This window comes from Homo sapiens, chromosome 13 (assembly GCF_000001405.40).
Source record: "Homo sapiens chromosome 13, GRCh38.p14 Primary Assembly".
NCBI classification, from domain to species: domain Eukaryota; kingdom Metazoa; phylum Chordata; class Mammalia; order Primates; family Hominidae; genus Homo; species Homo sapiens.
The window spans coordinates 27184199-27201679 of NC_000013.11; the positions used below are offsets into that span (position 1 = coordinate 27184199).

Sequence of the window (17481 nt, forward strand, 5' to 3'; positions counted from 1 at the left end):
TGCAGTGGCTCACGCCTATAATCCCAGAATTTTGGGAGGCTGAGGCAGGCAGGTCACTTGAGCTCAGGAGTTCGAGACCAGCGTGGCCAACATGGCAAAACTTCACCTCTACTAAAAATAAAAACATTAGCTGGGTGTGGTGGCTTGTGCCCGTAGTCCCAGCTACTAGGGAGGCTGAGTCAGGAGAATCACTTGAGCCCAGGAAGCAGAGGTTGCAGTGAGCCAAGCTCGTGCCACTGCACTCCAGCCTGCGTGACAGAGCAAAACTGTCTCCAAAAAAAAAAAAAAAAATTACTAAGTAAAAACTATGGCTAGGCATGGTAGCTCACACCTGCAATCCCAGCACTTTGGGAGGCTGAGGTGGGCAGATCGCCTGAGATCAGGAATTCAAGACCAGCCTGACCAGTATGGTGAAACCCTATCTCTACTAAAAATACAAAAATTAGCCAGGTGTGGTGGCTTGTGCCTGTAGTCCCAGTTACTTGGGAGGCTGAGACAAGAGAATCGCTTGAACACGGGAGATGGAGGTTGCAGTGAGCCGAGATTGTGCCACTACACTCCAGCCTGAGCAACAGAACAAGACTCCATCTCAACAAAAAAAAAAAAAAAAAAAAAAAAAAAAAAGGACTACGTGCCAGGCACTGTTCTAGGTTCTTGGCAAAACAGATAGACATCCACTCCCTCTTGGAGTTTCCATTTAAGTAGGGGAAAGAGACAGAAGTTAATTTCTGAACGATTCACTGTTGAGGGTACAGGTCGAGGATTTCCTTTGATTAAGCAGTCTTGCTCCTGGAGCTGGGGCTAGGACTCAGCTCCCCATAAGCCACAAGGCTATGTGAGGGAAGAGGGCCCCATCCTGGCCAAACAAGCATTCTGAGAGTAGGGAAGAAGCATGGGGCCAGGCAAGGTGGCTCGTGCCTGTAATCCCACAGCTTTGGGAGGCAAAGCTGGAGGATCCCTGGAGTCCAGGAGTTCGAGACCGGCCTGGGCAATGTAGCAAGACTCCATCCCTAGAAGGAATTTTAAAAATTAGCCAGGTGTGGTGGCGTGCCTGGAGTCCCAGCTACTCCAGAGGCTGAGGCAATAGGATCACTTGTTTACAGTTGTATATGCTCAACACCAGTGAACCTTGTCATGAAAACCCCTCCACCATTGCTGCTACCTAACTTTTGCTTTAAGCAACACAGATTTTTAGCTATCATGAAATCAAATCAGTAGAAAGTATACCCAGAGAGATTGCTATCCTTTAAATATTAAAAATTAAAACAAAAATCAGGCCAGGCATTGTGACTCACGCCTGTAATCCCAGCAGTTTGGGACACCAAGGTGGGCAGATCACCTGAGGTCAGGAGTTTGAGACTAGACTGGCCAACACGGCAAAACCCCATCTCTACTAAAAATACAAAAAAAAAAAAAAAAAATCAGCTGGGGCTGGGCGCGGTGGTTCATGCCTGGCCTGTAATCCCAGCACTTTGGGAGGTCAAGGTAGATGGATATAGTGAAACCCCATCTCTACTAAAAATACAAAAATTAGCTGGGCGTGGTGGTGCACGCCTGCAATCCCAGCTCCTTGGGAGGCTGAGGCAGAGAATCGCTTGAACCTGGGAGGCAGAGGTTGCAGTGAGCTGAGATCACGTCACTGGACTCCAGCCTGGGCAACAGAGCGAGACTCCATCTCAAAAAAAAATTAGCTGGGCGTGGTGGTGCACGCCTGTAATCCCTGCTACTCGGGGGGCTGAGGCAGGAGAATTGCTTGAACCTGGGAGGCAGAGGTTGCAGTGAGCCAAGATTGTGCCACTGCACTCCAGCCTGGGCAACAGAATGAGACTATGCCTCAAAAGAATTAAAAAAATAAAAAATAAAAACAGAAATCTAGAGAAAGGAGAATGGCAGTAGGGTCTGTTCTTTGGAGATAGTTTTGACAGAAACAAGACATCCAGGAACACTAATCTCATTGCTAGATTGCTTTAGGATTAAACCCTGCCCTGGAAAGCCCTAAATACCTTCCTCCTGGGTATATTATTAAGTCATCTGAGAAAGTCTCAATCCTATAACCAAAAGCACATCAAAGAAAATTTCTTCCTCTCACCATTTTTACCTTGAGAAATGATAGAGTAGCAAGTTTATGGATGAGAATATCAACTGGGCATTTTAATGGAAACTGGGCCAGAAAAAGATGGAATAATTCTTTTGTGCTCTTTCCTTTTAATGCTTGAGTCAAAGTAACCCATCTGGTTTTCTTCAATACTGGGTTCTGCGTTAGTGCTCCAGGGAGGCAGAACCCGTTCCATGGAAGTGATTCATTACCTGTGTTAACTTGAAGGGTGTCGCTCTTCATCTGCCTTCTCTTGTTCCATGGCACCACCGTAATTTAAATAATCTGCCTGCTTCCAGTACTGCAGCAGAGTTCTTCCTTCTGCTTCTTTCCTTTTTTCTTTCTCTTCTTTTCGTTTTTTTAACCTTTTATTATGGAAATTATCAAACATAAAAAAAATTCGAATTGTAAAATGAACCTAATCTATACATCATCCAGCTTTTCTACATAAAACTTATATATAGTAAAATGCATGCAAATAAATAAATAAATAGGCTGGGTGCAGTGACTCACACGTGTAATCCCAGCACTTTGGAAGGCCAAAGCAGGTAGATCACTTGAGGTCAGGAGTTTGAGACCAGCCTGGCCAATATGGTGAAACCCTGTCTTTACTAAAAACATAAAAATTAGCCAGTGTGGTGGTGTGCACCTGTAGTCCCTGCTACTTGGGAGGCTGAGACAGGAGAACCGCTTGAACCAGGGAGGCGGAGGTTGCAGTGAGCCGAAATTGCACCACTGCACTCCAGCCTGGGCGACAGAGCGAGATTATGTCTCAAAAGAATTAAATAATAAAATAAATAAAAAGGTTGGGCATGGTGGCTCACGCCTATAATCCCAGCACTTTGGGAGGCCACGGTGGGCAGATCACTTGAGGCCAGGAGTTCGAGACCAGCCTGGCCAACATAGAAACCCCATCTCTACTAAAAGTACAAAAATTAGCCAGGTGTGCTAGCAAGCGCCTGTAGTCCTAGCTACTCAGGAAGCTGAGGCAGAAGAATTGCTTGAACCCTGGAGGCAGAGGCCGCAGTGAGCCAAGATTGTGCCACTGTACTCCAGCCTGAGTAACAAAGCAAGACTTTGCCTCAAAAAAAAAAAAAAAGCAAAAAGCATGGATTTTTTGATAAATCTATATACCTGTTTAACTGTCACCCCCAATCAACACACAGAACATTTCCATCACCCCAGAAAGTTTCTTTGCCATCCCCCAGGTTTATCAGTTTTCAATACCTAGTCATGCTTGTTTCATCTAGACCAATACCCCACAATCCCCAGAATGATTTAGAAGCAAATTTACACATCAGATCATTTTCTCTGTAAATATTTTATTATGTTTCTCTGAAAGATAACCAAAATATTTTTATCACACTGAAATGAACAATATTTTTTCCACATTATTAAATATCCAGTCCCTGTGCACATTTCCCCAATTCTCTTTTAATAGATTTGTAATTGATTTATTCACCTTTGATCTATCTATTGATTTTGAAATCATTCCAGATTAACATTTCCATCCACCAACATGATCATGATTATCTTTTTTCTTTCTTTCGTTTTTTTAGATGGTGTCTTTTTTTTTTTTTTTTTTTTTTTGAGATGGAGTCTCACTTTGTCACCCAGGCTGGAGTGCAGTGGTGTGATTTCAGCTCACTACAATCTCTGCCTCCCGGGTTCAAGCAATTCGCATGCCTCAGCCTCCTCAGTAGGTGGGATTATAGGTGTGTGCCACCATGCCTAGCTAATTTTTTTTGTATTTTTAGTAGAGATGGGGTTTCACCACATTGGCCAGGGTGGTCTCAAACTCCTGAGCTCAGGTGATCCACCCGCCTTAGCCTCCCAAAGTGCTAGGATTACAGGCGTGAGCCACCGCGCCCAGCCACCACCATCATGATTATCTATTAATTGAGTACTTTTTAGTCTAACCCAACCATAATTCAATATAGCTGTCCAGTTTAAATTTCCGATATTGCTATTCATATGGCTTATCCTTCCACAAGAGTTAACTAGCTTTTGTATGAATAAACCTTGTTTCTCTGCCCCTGAGAATTTGATTATGCTGTCTCTTATCTCTACCCCGCCCTCAAACATTCATTAAATAAATATTTGTGCAACACCTACTAGGTTTCAGGGCCAACGCTAGTTTCTGGGCAATCAGTAGTGAACAAGATACACATAGTTCTTGCCCCGGGAAGGTTATGATACCCTCCCCTCTCTACCTGGTGGAATCCATTTACTTTAAGGTAAAGTTCAAATGTCACCTCCTCTGCCAAGTCAGCCTGATCTCTTCAGGCAGAAATCAGGCTTCTATAATATTCTCTCATTCTTTTAAGATTCCTGCTTCACTTCATTTGCACTACTCCTAGAAAACATACCACATGGCCAGGCACAGTGGCTCATACCTATAATCCCAGCACTTTTGGAGGCCAAGGCGTGTGGATTGCTTGAGCCCAGGAGTTAAAAACCAGCCCTGGCAGCATAGTGAGACCCTTCTCTACAAACAGACAGAAAAAAAAAAAGAAAGAAAGAAAACATACCTCAGAAAGAATTTGAACATAAGATCTGTAAAGAGACTTACTTCAACTTTGTGGTACCCTCAACAGCTAATGGAAACAGTGAATGAATGAATGAATATATAAGAGCAGTTATTAAAGAAAAAAACTACCCATCAGCTGCCAAACTTGACACAACAGTTTGAAAAAACATGTATTTGAAAATTCTCCAGTTGGTATAGGTGATTGCAATGCCCTGAGGAGATCGGGGGAGAAAAGCCCATTTATAAAGCAATTGGGAATTGGACTGTAGATTAAAAAGGACATACCTTGAGGTAGTTTTCTTCTTTTAGTTATCTTGTTCCATTATGGCATATTTCTGAACTTGGCACAGGGAATTAAAAAACCAATTTTTTGTAGTCAGAAATTCTTAAAAGTATTTCTGTGCTCTTATAAAAATTTGGAAATATAAAAAGAACAAAGAATCAGCCATAATTCACCACTCAGACAAAATCACTGTGACTATTTTGGCATATTTCCTTCCTGTCTTTTTTCTCTGCATATAGAAAACTGGAGAGCTGGATTTTTCAGTGGCACTGAGCATGAGTGGACCTACACAAGAATGTTTTGTTTTCCATATTAAGGTCATGTGGTCTCTGCCTGCTCTCTGGCCTACCTTTCCCCACTAATGACCTCTCTTTTTTCTCTTTTTCCTATTTTGTTCTAGCCCTTCCCTCACTAAACCTAGAGTTCTGGTCTTGTTACCATAATGTGAGTCTTCACTCAGATCTCTGGTTCCAATGTCATGTCCCTGACTGGGATACTGACCCTGTCACCTTAAATCCCTTCACCTCACCTACTTGGCTCTGAAACCAAGTTCATAGACCAGGCCAGACCTGACCTGTAATCTTTATTATATTTTTTCTTTGTTCCCCATAGCATTAAAAAGCTTTTGTAAATACAATTATTATTATTATTATTATTATTATTATTTTGAGATGGAACCTTGCTCTGTCACCCAGGCTGGAGTGCAGTGGCGTGATCTCAGCTCACTGCAAGCTTCATCTCCTGGGTTGACGCCATTCTCCTGCCTCAGCCTCCGGAGTAGCTGGGACTACATGTGCCCACCACCACGCCCAGCTAATTTTTTTGTATTTTTAGTAGAGATGGGGTTTCACCGTGTTAGCTAGGACGGTCTTGATCTCCTGACCTCGTGATCCGCCCGCCTCGGCCTCCCAAAGTGCTGGGATTACAGGCATAAGCCACCGCGCCCGGCCTTTTTTTTTTTTTTTAAACGGAGTCTCCCTCTGTCGCCAAGGCTGGAGTGCAGTGGTATGATCAAGATCACTGAAACCTCTGCCTCCCAGGTTCAAGTGATTCTCCTACCTGAGCTTCCCGAGTAGTTAGGATTAAAGGCATGCGCCACCAAGCCCAGCTAATTTTTGTATTTTTAGTAGAGATGGAGTTTCACCATGTTGGCCAGGCTGGTCTCAAACTCCTGACCTCAGGTGATCTACCCGCCTCAGCCTCCCAAAGTGCTGGGATGATAGGTGTGAGCCACCACACCCAGCCTGTAAATAGAAATTGAATGGCTGCATTTTATTCTTTTATGTTTGACCATAATTATCTTACCCATTCTAATATTGACCTTATGTTACTTTTAATTTGTCATTATTATAAATAGCATTGTGATGAATATGTTTGCAATTAATTCTTTAACTGTATATCAGATTATTTTCTTAAGTCAGATAACTACAAATAAAAGCATTGACATAAAATATGGCATTAAAATATTTAATACATATTGTTAAATTGACTTCTGGAGAGAGCATACAAACTTACACTCCCGCTGGAGAGTAGAGTGTGTCCATTTTGTTGCATTGTTGCCAATATTGTGTATTACTGTAAAAAAAGGGAACAAAAGGGAATTTAGGAATAGAAAGGAGCTTTCTCAATGTGATCAACAGTATCTATGAAAAATGTACAACTAGCAACATACTTCATGGTGACAGACCAATGCTCTTCCCCAAGATCAAGAGCAAAGAAGGATGTCCACTAATATCACTTCTATCAGACGGTGTATTATTTTTAAATATTTGCTCATATGAGCTATTTAAAACCACTCTGCATTTCAAATTGTATTTCTTTGCTTGGTTGCAACAGGAACCTTTCTTATGTTTATTAGCAATTGCCTTTCCTTTTTTGTGAATTATGTATCTGTCATCTTTGCCCAGGCTTCTGTTTTGCTTTTTTGTTTTGTTTTTTTTCCGAAATGGAGTCTTGCTCTGTCGCCAGGCTGGAGTGCAGTGGTGCTATCTCGTCTCACTGCAAACTCCACCTCCTGGGTTCAAGCGATTCTCCTGCCTCAGCCTCCCGAGTAGCTGGGACTACAGGCACCTGCCACCACACCCAGCTAATTTTTGTATTTTTCATAGAGATGGGGTTTCACCATGTTGGCCAGGATGGTCTTGATCTCTTGACCTCATGATCTGCCTGCCTCGGCCTCCCAAAGTGCTGGGATTGCAGGCGTAGCCACTGCACCTGGCCCAGGCTTCTGTTTTTGTCCTAGGGCTTTTTAAGTTATTTCTGTTGAGTTCTCTATATTTTCATCTTAAATATTTCCATGAATTTGTAGTATGTTTTTTTCTTTTTTGGATGCCATATTTTTGTCATAGAGTTTTTTGTGTGTATGTGATCAAAATCAGTTTGTTTCTTTTTAAGTTGTTTTTATGCTTAACTATGTCTTCTTATAGTGCTTCAAAGTACTGCAGAAACTATACTGCTTCCATATTCAAGAACTAGTTGAGTAGTTCATAGCCTATTATTTGGATAACCAATTTTTCTAGGAAAAGCAGTTCTTATATCCTGCAACTGGTGTTGTTTGTATTATTATAATGCATCAACAAGAAAAAAAAGCATCAGAGAATCTAATTTAGAATACTGGTTCAAAATCGTAACATGTAGGATTCATTCTAGGTTCTGAGTCATGTTTTCATCGCAAGACTCAGAAGAAAGGTAAGGTTGATATTCAAGAATTATACAGAGGCAACCTACAGAATGGCCTTTGTCCGATTTATGACAGAATTTTACAGGAAAGGGTAGCCTAATTTGCATCAGATGTTCACCATGCTTTCATAATTTTTTGATATGGAAATGGAAACTTGTCTTCTCCCATTCAAGAATAGCTAAAAAGTAGGGAGGACAAATAAGAACTGCTGTTTTCATGTGTCATTAATCAACTGATTATTAAATATATGTTGTTTTTTGTATTTTTAGTAGAGACGGGGTTTCTCCATGTTATCCAGGCTGGTCTCCAACCCCTGAGCTCAGGCAATCTGCCCACGTTGGCCTCCCAAAGTGCTAGGATTACAGTCATGAGCCACTGTGCCCAGTCCTGTTTATTAATTATATTGAGTATTGAATTTTCTAAAGGCTTTAGTCTAGAAAGGAATATATATATATATATATATATATATATATATTTTTTTTTTTTTTTTTGAGACAGGGTCTCTCTCTGTCACCCACGCTAGAATGCAGTGGCACAGCCTCAACTCACTGCAGCTTCAACCTCTGGGGCTGGAACAGTCCTCCTATCTCAGCCTTTCAAGTAGCTGGGACCACTAGCATGTGCCACCATGCTCAGCTAATTTTTGTTTATTTTTGTAGAGAGGGAGTCTGATATGGTTTGGCTGTGTCCCCACCCAACTCTCATCTTGAATTCCCTCATGTTGTGGGAGGGACCCTGTGGGAGGTAATTGAATCATGGGAGCAGGTCTTTCCCATGCTGTTCTTGTGACAGTGAATAAGTCCCATGAGATCTGATGGTTTTATAAAGGGGAGTTTCCCTGCACAAGCCGTCTCTTTGCCTGCCACATAAGATGTGACTTCCTCCTCCTTGCCTTCAGCCATGATTGTGAGGCTTCCCCAGCCACATGGAACTGTGAGTTCTCCATTAAACCACTTTCCTTGGTAAATTTCCAGTCTCCAGTATGTCTTTATCAGCAGCATGAAAACAGACTAATACAGGGTCTCACTCACTATGCTGCCCAAGCTGGTCTCAAACTCCTGGGCTCAAGAGATGTGCCCGCCTCGGCCTCCCAAAGTGCTTGGATTACAGGTGTGAGCCACTTCACCTGGCCTGTGATACATTTTAAACAAATTTTAGTCTGTTAGTTTATAAAAGTAACAGTTAAAAAAATCTTTTAATTATTTGACTTTACTTGTAGCTTAGCTCATCTCTAATTATTTCCAGGTACTAGCCTGGAGCTGAGAGATGACCTTATTTTTATACCTCATATTCTTTTGTCTCATAATGAGTTTGAATATGAGTCAATAAGACAAGATGTACCTCAGTGTCACCACTTTACAGAAGTAGTATCATTTATATACAATGAGTAAGATTTTTATGATACCAAAAAATTCTCAACATAAAACAACAGGAAAGTCCATATGAAACAATTTAGGAAAAATATTTAGACAAAAGTACAAAAAAGAGTCCTGGATTACTGAATTTCAAAAGGAAGTCATCTGGCCTGGCATGGTGGCTCATGCCTGTAACACCAGCACTTCGGGAGGCCAAGGTGGGTGGATCACTTGAGGTCAGGAGTTTGAGACCAGCCTGACCAACATGATGAAACCCCATCTCTACTAAAAATACAAAAATTAGCCAGGTGTGGTGGCATGTGCCTGTAATCCAGGTACTTGGGAGGCTGAGGCAGGAGAGTTGTTTGAACCTGGGAGGCGGAGGTTGAGCCCGGGAGCTGAAGGCAGGAGGGAACCCAGGAGGCGGTGAGCCGAGATCACACCACTGCACTCCAGCCTGGGCAAAAGAGTGAGACTGTCAAAAAAAAAAAAAAAAAAAAAAATAGAAGTCCCCTATCAATCACCATTTCAAAATCAGTGAAGAGAAAAGGGAACTGCAGAAGCCAGCAGCACTGAAAGGTGCCCGGGACAAGGCAAGGCTGCAGCACGATTCAAGCCCTTCGCCACTTCACCGACGTCACTCTCCCTACACTCAGGACTGGGCAGCCTTTCTAGAATCTGCTTTCTGTACAATGCAGTACCTGCACATAGCAGGGACTCAAGAGAGGTTCTATTATTAACACCTTCTCGGTAGGTTCTTGGGGAATAGAGTCAGTTTTCAAAGAGTTCCACAGTGTGGCACTCAAGACAGGGGGCTCTGGAGCCAGGCCGCCCAGATGCAAATCCTGGGTCTGCTATTTACCATCTCTGTGACCTCGAACATGTTACTTAACCTCTGAGTGTTGGTATACGCTCATTTAAAATGGAAATAATAATAGTTTCATAGGTTTATGTCAAGATTGAATGAGACAAGACATAAAAAGTACCGGGTATAGAATAAGCATCTGGTATACCTGAGCTAGTCACACACAGAGGAAAGTAAATTACCACCAGCTAGACATTTTCAATCTATAATAGCCTGTGCAAGTAAAACAAAGCAAAAAATAGAAACACTCTCTAAGGGCCATTGAATCAGTTAGGATTAGGTTTAGCTACGTGAAATAAACAAATAACCATCCCACCCCATGCCCACACACTCAGACACATACACACAAAAACCCCAGCAGTTTAGAAATACAGAAATTAGTTTCTCTCACACATAAAATAAGCCGGAAAGTAGGCAGCCCAAGATTGCACAATCACCTGGATTCAGGCTCCTTTCTCCCTCCTGCTCTGTCGGCTTCCTGGTCCTGGAAGTCTGCTTGGCTCCTACCATCTCATCTCCTTTTTCCAAGCAGTGAGGAGGAGGAAGGTGCAAAAATGAACCTACACCTTACCATTTAAAAACACTTCACAGACTGGCCTTTGTGGCTCACCCCTATAATTCCAGCACTTTGGGAAGCTGAGGCAGGAGAACTGATTGAGCCCGGGAGTTACTGAGACCAGGATGGGCAATGTAGGGAGACTCTGTGTCTACGAAAATTTTAAAAATTAGTTGGGCATGATGGCTGACAACTGTGGTCCCAGCTACTCAGGAGGCTGAGGCGGGAGGATCACTTGATCCCAGGAGGTTGAGGCTGCAGTGAGCTTTGATGGCACCACTGCACTCCAGCTTGAGCAGTAAAAGCAAGATTCTGTCTCCAAAATAAAGAAATAAATAAAAATATTTATCAGCTATTACATCCAACATTTCCATTAACATCCCATTGGCCAAAATTTGGTCTCATAGTCTTGTCTAGCAATCAGGAGGCTAGGAAATAGTCTTTATTCTGGGTGGGCGTGTGCCTAGCTAATAACTGGGGGTTCTAGCACAAACAAAGGAGAGAATGGATATTAGAGAGGAAAGGAGCATTCCATTCCCCAGCTGGGTGGATAACAAACTGCCTCTGAGCAAGAAACATAATGAAAATATTCAAACACAGGGAAGGCTGCCCCAAGATTGACTTATTTGTTTATTTATTTGTTAGGGTATAATTGTCAATGGTTTACTTATTGTGTCTTATAGAATCATAAGCTAGATTATGTCCTCAGCCCTCCTGGAAATGCTTGGCAGAGTGTGCGTCCCATTCAACCTCCACAGCGTAAAGGAAAGGGAAGGCACTTGGGGAGATTTCAAAGAAAAGCCACCAGGATGACTAATAGCTCAAAACAATAAGACCTAGGACGCACTGTTAAGGAATGAGTCAGCCAGGGAAAGAGATGGCTAGAGGGTGACTAAATAATGATCCCTTGCTATACAAAGGTCTCTGCACAGAGGAGGAGGGAGTAGGAGCAGGAGAAGAAGGAGGAAGATGACCAGGAGTATGGTCATCTCCACTAGGGGTTGAACGGAAGGAAACGGGAGCAGGAGTGACTTAAAGATACCTGAAAGGACAAATGTGCTGAAGGGGATGCTTGTCAAAATACAGGAGATGGTATAAACATATAGCACGTGGGGATTATACATTGGCATCTCTGACCACCGTGGTATTTGAATGTGCTCTTCACTAAAGCAAAGCTTGAGAGTTTGCGGGGAGGGAGGGGCATTCACAGGTGGAGGGAGGGTGAACGACCAGAACTCCTATGATTTCCTTCTCTGTGCCTCAGTTTCCCTCATGGAATAACCATGTGTTGGAGTTCAGAAAAGAGATCCTATATTGATTTGAAAGATACACTCTGGTTTTGCAGATGTACAGAAAATAATAACTAAACAATATCAGTATGTGGCAGAAGAGATCCTACCAGTAGAAAGGAATGCCCTTTCTGCATTTTAAGATCTCATTTTTTAAATTATAAAAGGAATATAATGGCTTTCCAGTCAAGGTGGCCCCATAAGATGCATGCCATCTGCTGCACACATTCAACAATGTCAAACTAATACACAAAGAGAAAACCAAAAAAGATATAGCATGGCTCAGAAACAAGACAATTATTTACATGGACCAGAAACAAGAGAGAGCTGAATGAGGCAGAAACTAGGACCAGGGGCCGTGGGTCTCAAACAGGCAGTGGTAGTTGAGAATCTGGCTTCTCTAGAGACCAAAGCCAGGAGCCTGTAGAAGCCAGGGGCTGCAGTAGAGCTCTCCTTCCTCCTCTCCCCCAGCGCCTGCTCCTCTCCCACTCCCCAGGGGTAACCACTCTCCCTTTTCAGCCCTCCTGAGAGCCACTCTGTAAGATGAGGACATGTGGCATCTACAGGGCTTCCCACCTCGCTTCTCCTTCCCTGATTTCTATTCAATTCTGCCACTGTCCTTACCTCTTCATTCTGTTAACTATGATTCTTTTGTGTTTTGTATATAGGTGCACTGCAGAAACGAGTAATATGACTAAACCCATAGAAAAGGGAACATATTCTATGTTATTAAATCTGCCATGATTTAATGGAATATTTTTCCAAATTCAATACATAGCTCAAAATCATGTCATATTTTAGTTAGCTTCGGTTTTTTCATTTGTTTTTTGGTTTTTGGGTTTTTTTTAAAAGACAGAGTCTCACTCTGTCACCCAAGCTGGAGTGCACTGGTGTGATCATGGCTTACTGCAGCCTCATCCTCCCGTGCTCAGGTGATCCTCTCACCTCAGCTTCCCGAGTAGCTGGGACTACAGGCATGCACCGCCATGCCCAGCTAGTTTTTGTATTTTCAGTAGAGACGGGGTTTCACCATGTTGCTCAGGCTGGTGTCAAATTCCTGAGCTCAAGCTATCTGCCCACCTCTGTAATCCCAGAACTTTTGGAGGCCGAGGTGAGCAGATGCCTTGAGACCAGGAGTTTGAGACCAGCCTGGGCAACACAGTGAGACCCCATCTCTACAAAAATTAAAATTAAAAAATTAGCTGAGCATGGTGGCACATGCCTGTAGTCCTAGCTACTCAGGAGGGTGAGGTAAGAGGATCACTTGAGCCCAGGACATCAAGGCTACCTTGAGCTATGATGGCACCAGAGCACTCCAGCCTGGGTGACAGAGCAAGACCCTGTCTCAAAAAAAAAAAAAAAAGATATTATTATTGCAGGCCCTTGACTTCCTGCTATAATATGAACTGATGACTTTCTTTCTTTCTTTTTTTTCTTTTTTTGAGATGGAGTCTTGTGCTGTTGCCCAGGCTAGAGTGCAGTGGTGTCTCAACCTCCGCCTCCAGGGTTCAAGTGATCCTCCTGCCTCAGCCTTGCGAGTAGCTAGGAATACAGATGCCTGCCACCACCACATGCAGCTAATTTTTTTGTACTTTTAGTAGAGACAGGGTTTTGCCATGTTGGCCAGGCTGGTCTTGAACTCCTGACCTCAGGTGATCCACCCACCTCAGCCTCCCAAAGTGCTGGGATGACACGTGTGAGCCACCGCATCTGGCCTTGAACTGATGACTTTCTAAGCCTGTTACACAAATTACAACTGAGCTTCCTTCTCAATGATTTCCTAGGTGACTGCCCTTGTTCTTGGGCTTCATGTCTCCCTCTTGGATTCCTGTTCTGATTGGAAGGAGCACATCCTCAGTTAATTTTTTCAGAAAAGGTATATGTAGAGATAAACTTTGTGAGTGCTTTTTATTTTATTCTCACAGCTGCCTATTTGACTGGATGTCAGTTTCTAGGTTAAAATCAGTTTTCCTTATGAATTTGGGGTCACTGTTTCGTTGTCTTTTAGCCATGTTGCTTTACATATATCTGATGCCAATTTGTTCTTCATTTCCACCTAAGAAACTTTGATTTCTTCTCTGCAAAACTTTAGGGTTTTCTTTTTTAAACTTGACATTCTGAAATCTCACCATAATATGTCTAAGTGTGATCCTCTTTTTTTCATTCATTGTATTTGGTACTATTGTCTTTTTCAATATGAACACTTGAATTTTTCTTCAGTTCAGGGAAATTATCTTTCATTTCTCTAAATGCTTTCTCTTCATTCACCATTCTCTCCTCCAGGAACTTCTATTAGATTGATAGTGAGTTCTCTCTGTTTTTTCACTTTCCCTCATTATGGCTCTGTATTTTGGGATATCTCTTTGTCCATATCTTTTAGATCACTACACAATCTTCTACTTCATTCAGTCCTTCTATTTTAAGTTTTCGTTTTGGCAATCATGATTCTAATTTTTGAGAATTTTTTTCATATTTTTTGAGTGTTCTTTTTTCGTGGCCATCTGTTTCTGTTCTTTTTTTCAGTAGATAAATCGCATGTCTTCTGGGGCTTAGCTTAGGAAGGTCTTTTTTTTTTAGTTCTATTTCTTGCATTATATGTCTCCCATTCTCTGAAGTAATGTATTCTATTGGCTCAAATTGGTCTTTCACAACATCAGCTTTTTAAAAAATGTCTTAAAGGCTGGGCATGATGGCTCACACCTGGTAATCCCAGCACTATGGAAGGCCAGGACGGGTAGATAGCTTTGAGCCCAGGAGTTCAAGACTAGACTGGGCAACATGGTAAAACCCTGTCTCTATAAAAAATACAAAAGAATTAGCTGGGTGTGGTGTTACGTGCCTGTAGTCCCAGCAACTTGGGAGGCTGGGGTGGGAGAATCTCTCGGGCCTGCTGCATTCCAGCCAGGGTGACAGAGAGAGACCCTGTCTCAAAAAAAAAAAAAAAGAAAAGAAAAAAAAAAAAGAATCTTTTTAAAGGTATCGACTTGACTGGATTAAAGAATATCTAGAGGACAGGTGCAGTGGCTCACACCTGTAATCCCAGCACTTTGGGAGGCCGAGGTGGGCGGATCACTGAGGTCGGGGGTTTGAGACCAGCCTGGCCAACATGGCAAAACACCATCTCTACTAAAAATACAAAAAAATTAGCTGGCGTGGTGGTGCACACCTGTAATCCCACCTACTCGGGAGGCTGAGGCAGGAGAATCACTTGAACACAGGAGGCAGAGGTTGTAGTGAGCCAAGATCACGCCACTGTACCCCAGCCTGGGTGACAGAGGGAGACTCAGTCTCGAAAAGAAAAAAAAAATAATAAAGGAATTGTGAAGGTGTTTCCAGAAGAGATTAGCATGTGAGTCTGAGTGGACTCAGTGGGCAAGACCAGCCTCAATAATGCAGGTGGGCACCATCCAATCAGCTGAGGTCCCAGATAGAATACAAACAGAAAAGCTGTATCGGTCTCTTTCTTTGGGAGCTGGGATATACTCTTCTTTTCCTGCCTTGAGCATCAGAACCCCAGGCCCTCTGGCCTTTGGACTCCAGGATGTACACCGATGGCCATCCAGGTTCTCAGGTTTACAGCCTCAGACTGGGAGTTACACTATCTGCTTCCCTGATTCTGAGGCTTTTGGACTTGGACTGAGCCATGCTACTGGAATCCCAGGGTGTCCAGCTTGCACATGGCCTGTTTTGGGACCTCTCAGCCTCCATAAATCAAGTGGGCCGATTCTTCTAGTAAATCTCCTCTCATGTATCTATTTAATACATATATATTATATGTACATATAGATATATTAGATACATATATATCTATTGGTTCTGTCTCTCTGGAGAACCCTAATACAGGAGCCAAGTGAGGTTGACATATTTATCACCCTGCCTTCTCTCGGCAGGGTTGCTGTGGGTTGGCTGCTCCAAAGGCAACACTTTCCAGCACCTCATTTACAGCTAATGACCTAGAAAATTCTTTCACTACCCCCCTTCTATATCAGGAAAAATAACTAAAAGCAGTTTGCCTTCGTGTGTCAAGGACAGCAATATATCTTAACTGTCCTGCCTCAGGGCTAAGTCAACCCCTGCTGTCATAATATAATATAGAGGAACCCTGTTTGTCTTGCTGTTCTACAGAAAGTCACATGGGTTCATTACATGGATGATATTATGCTAATTGGATCTAGTGAGCAGAAAGGAGCTTAGATCCACTGGTAAAACACATGCTTGCCAACAAGCTGGGAAATAATTCCCTGGGAAGTTCAGGGTCCTGATATACTGATGAAGTTCCTGAGAGTCCAGTGGTTTCTTGGAATATCTCCTTCTAAAGGGGAAGATTGGCCAGGCACAGTGGCTCATGCCTGTAATCCCAGCACTTTGGGAGGCCGAGGCAGGAGGATCGCTTGAGCCCAGGAGTTTTGAGACCAGCCTGGGCAACATAGTGAGACTCTATCTCTATGAAAAAAAAAAAAAAAATCCAGGCACAGTGGCATGCACCTGTAGTCCCAGCTACTCCTCAGGAGTCTGAGGTGAGAGGATTGCTTGAGCCTGGGGGCAAGGCTGCAGTGAGCTGTGATTGTGCCACTGCACTCCAACCTGGGTGACAGAGAGAGATCCCTGACTCAAAAAGAAAAAAAACAAACAAACATTAAAAGAAAAAGGGAGAGATCATGAGATCATGCTTACCCCTTGCCCCACCTGTCATGTAGGAGGCACAATGCTTAGTGGGTTTCTTTGGATTTTAAAGACAACATGAATCATACTTTGGTGTGTTCCTCTAATCTCATTACTGGATTATTCACCTGATAAGACTGACAGTTTTGAGTGGGCACAGAGTAGAAAGAGGTTCTGACAAGTCCAGGCTGCATCACAAGCAGACCCAATGGAGTGGAAGAATCTGTGGCAGACAGAGCTGCTATATGGGGACCCTAGCAAGACCCAGTGCAACCCGAGTAAAGCTGTGACCTCTTCTACTGACAACTGTTTTTCACCTGAAAAGCAGTTCCTGGACTTACAGGGCCCAGATACAGACTAGGCATCTGACTCTGGGTCACAAATGACTGTGTGATGTGAACTGCACCTGATGACCTGGGCCCACTCAGCAGTGTTCATTGTAAAATGTAAATGTACTCTAGTATCTTTTCCTCCCCCAGGACAAAGCTCATGACTGAGATCCTATAACAGAAGACAGATTAACAAGAGAAAAGCATACACATTTGTTTAACATATATTTTACATGACATGGGAATCTTCAGAAATGAAGATCAAAAAAAGCAAACAAAAGAAAAAACGGGAAAATGTGTATTTTCAGGAACACAGAAGTATAATTGGAGGACAAAAGGTCTAATCTAATGTCAATAAACTGGGGGGAACTTAGCAAGGGCTGTTTGTTCAGATTCTTCAAGGCATCTCTGTGTCTTCATTCTTTTCCTCCAGGCACAGGGCAGGACCCCTCTGGAATAAGGATCTTATAACTTATTTTCAGAAGAAACTCGGCCCAGGTTTTATGGCTCCTTTGGGGGACAAAGAGCAAGGAGGAATTCTTTCTAGTTTCTATGACCTCCTTCTACTGTTTCCTCAAATGCCAAGGTACCATATTTTCAGGTGGCATTTCCTGTACCACATCAGTGTGTATGAGATCAGGCTCTGGCAGATCTGGAAATGACACAGAAACTTCAGGAACACATGGTGGTCCAGGCTCCCGTGGTACCTTTCCCACTGTCTTATTGTTCCTCTCTCAACACATACCCATGGCCTTATGGGGAGTTCCCTGCCCCCACTAAATAGAGGAGGGAAAGGTGTGGGTCAGCTTTATTAATGGATCTTCATGGTAAGATGGA

At 42.9% G+C, this 17481-nt stretch overlaps 1 annotated feature.

Annotated features, from left to right (window-relative positions):
* Nucleotides 10615–11814: an enhancer, noted in NCBI's record as "P300/CBP strongly-dependent group 1 enhancer chr13:27768950-27770149 (GRCh37/hg19 assembly coordinates)". NCBI's record gives its function as "activates an origin of replication core promoter dependent on BRD2, BRD4, P300/CBP, MED14 and CDK7 cofactors, with strong dependence on P300/CBP, by STARR-seq in HCT116 cells {active_cell/tissue: HCT116}" and the evidence as "EXISTENCE:reporter gene assay evidence [ECO:0000049][PMID:35650434]".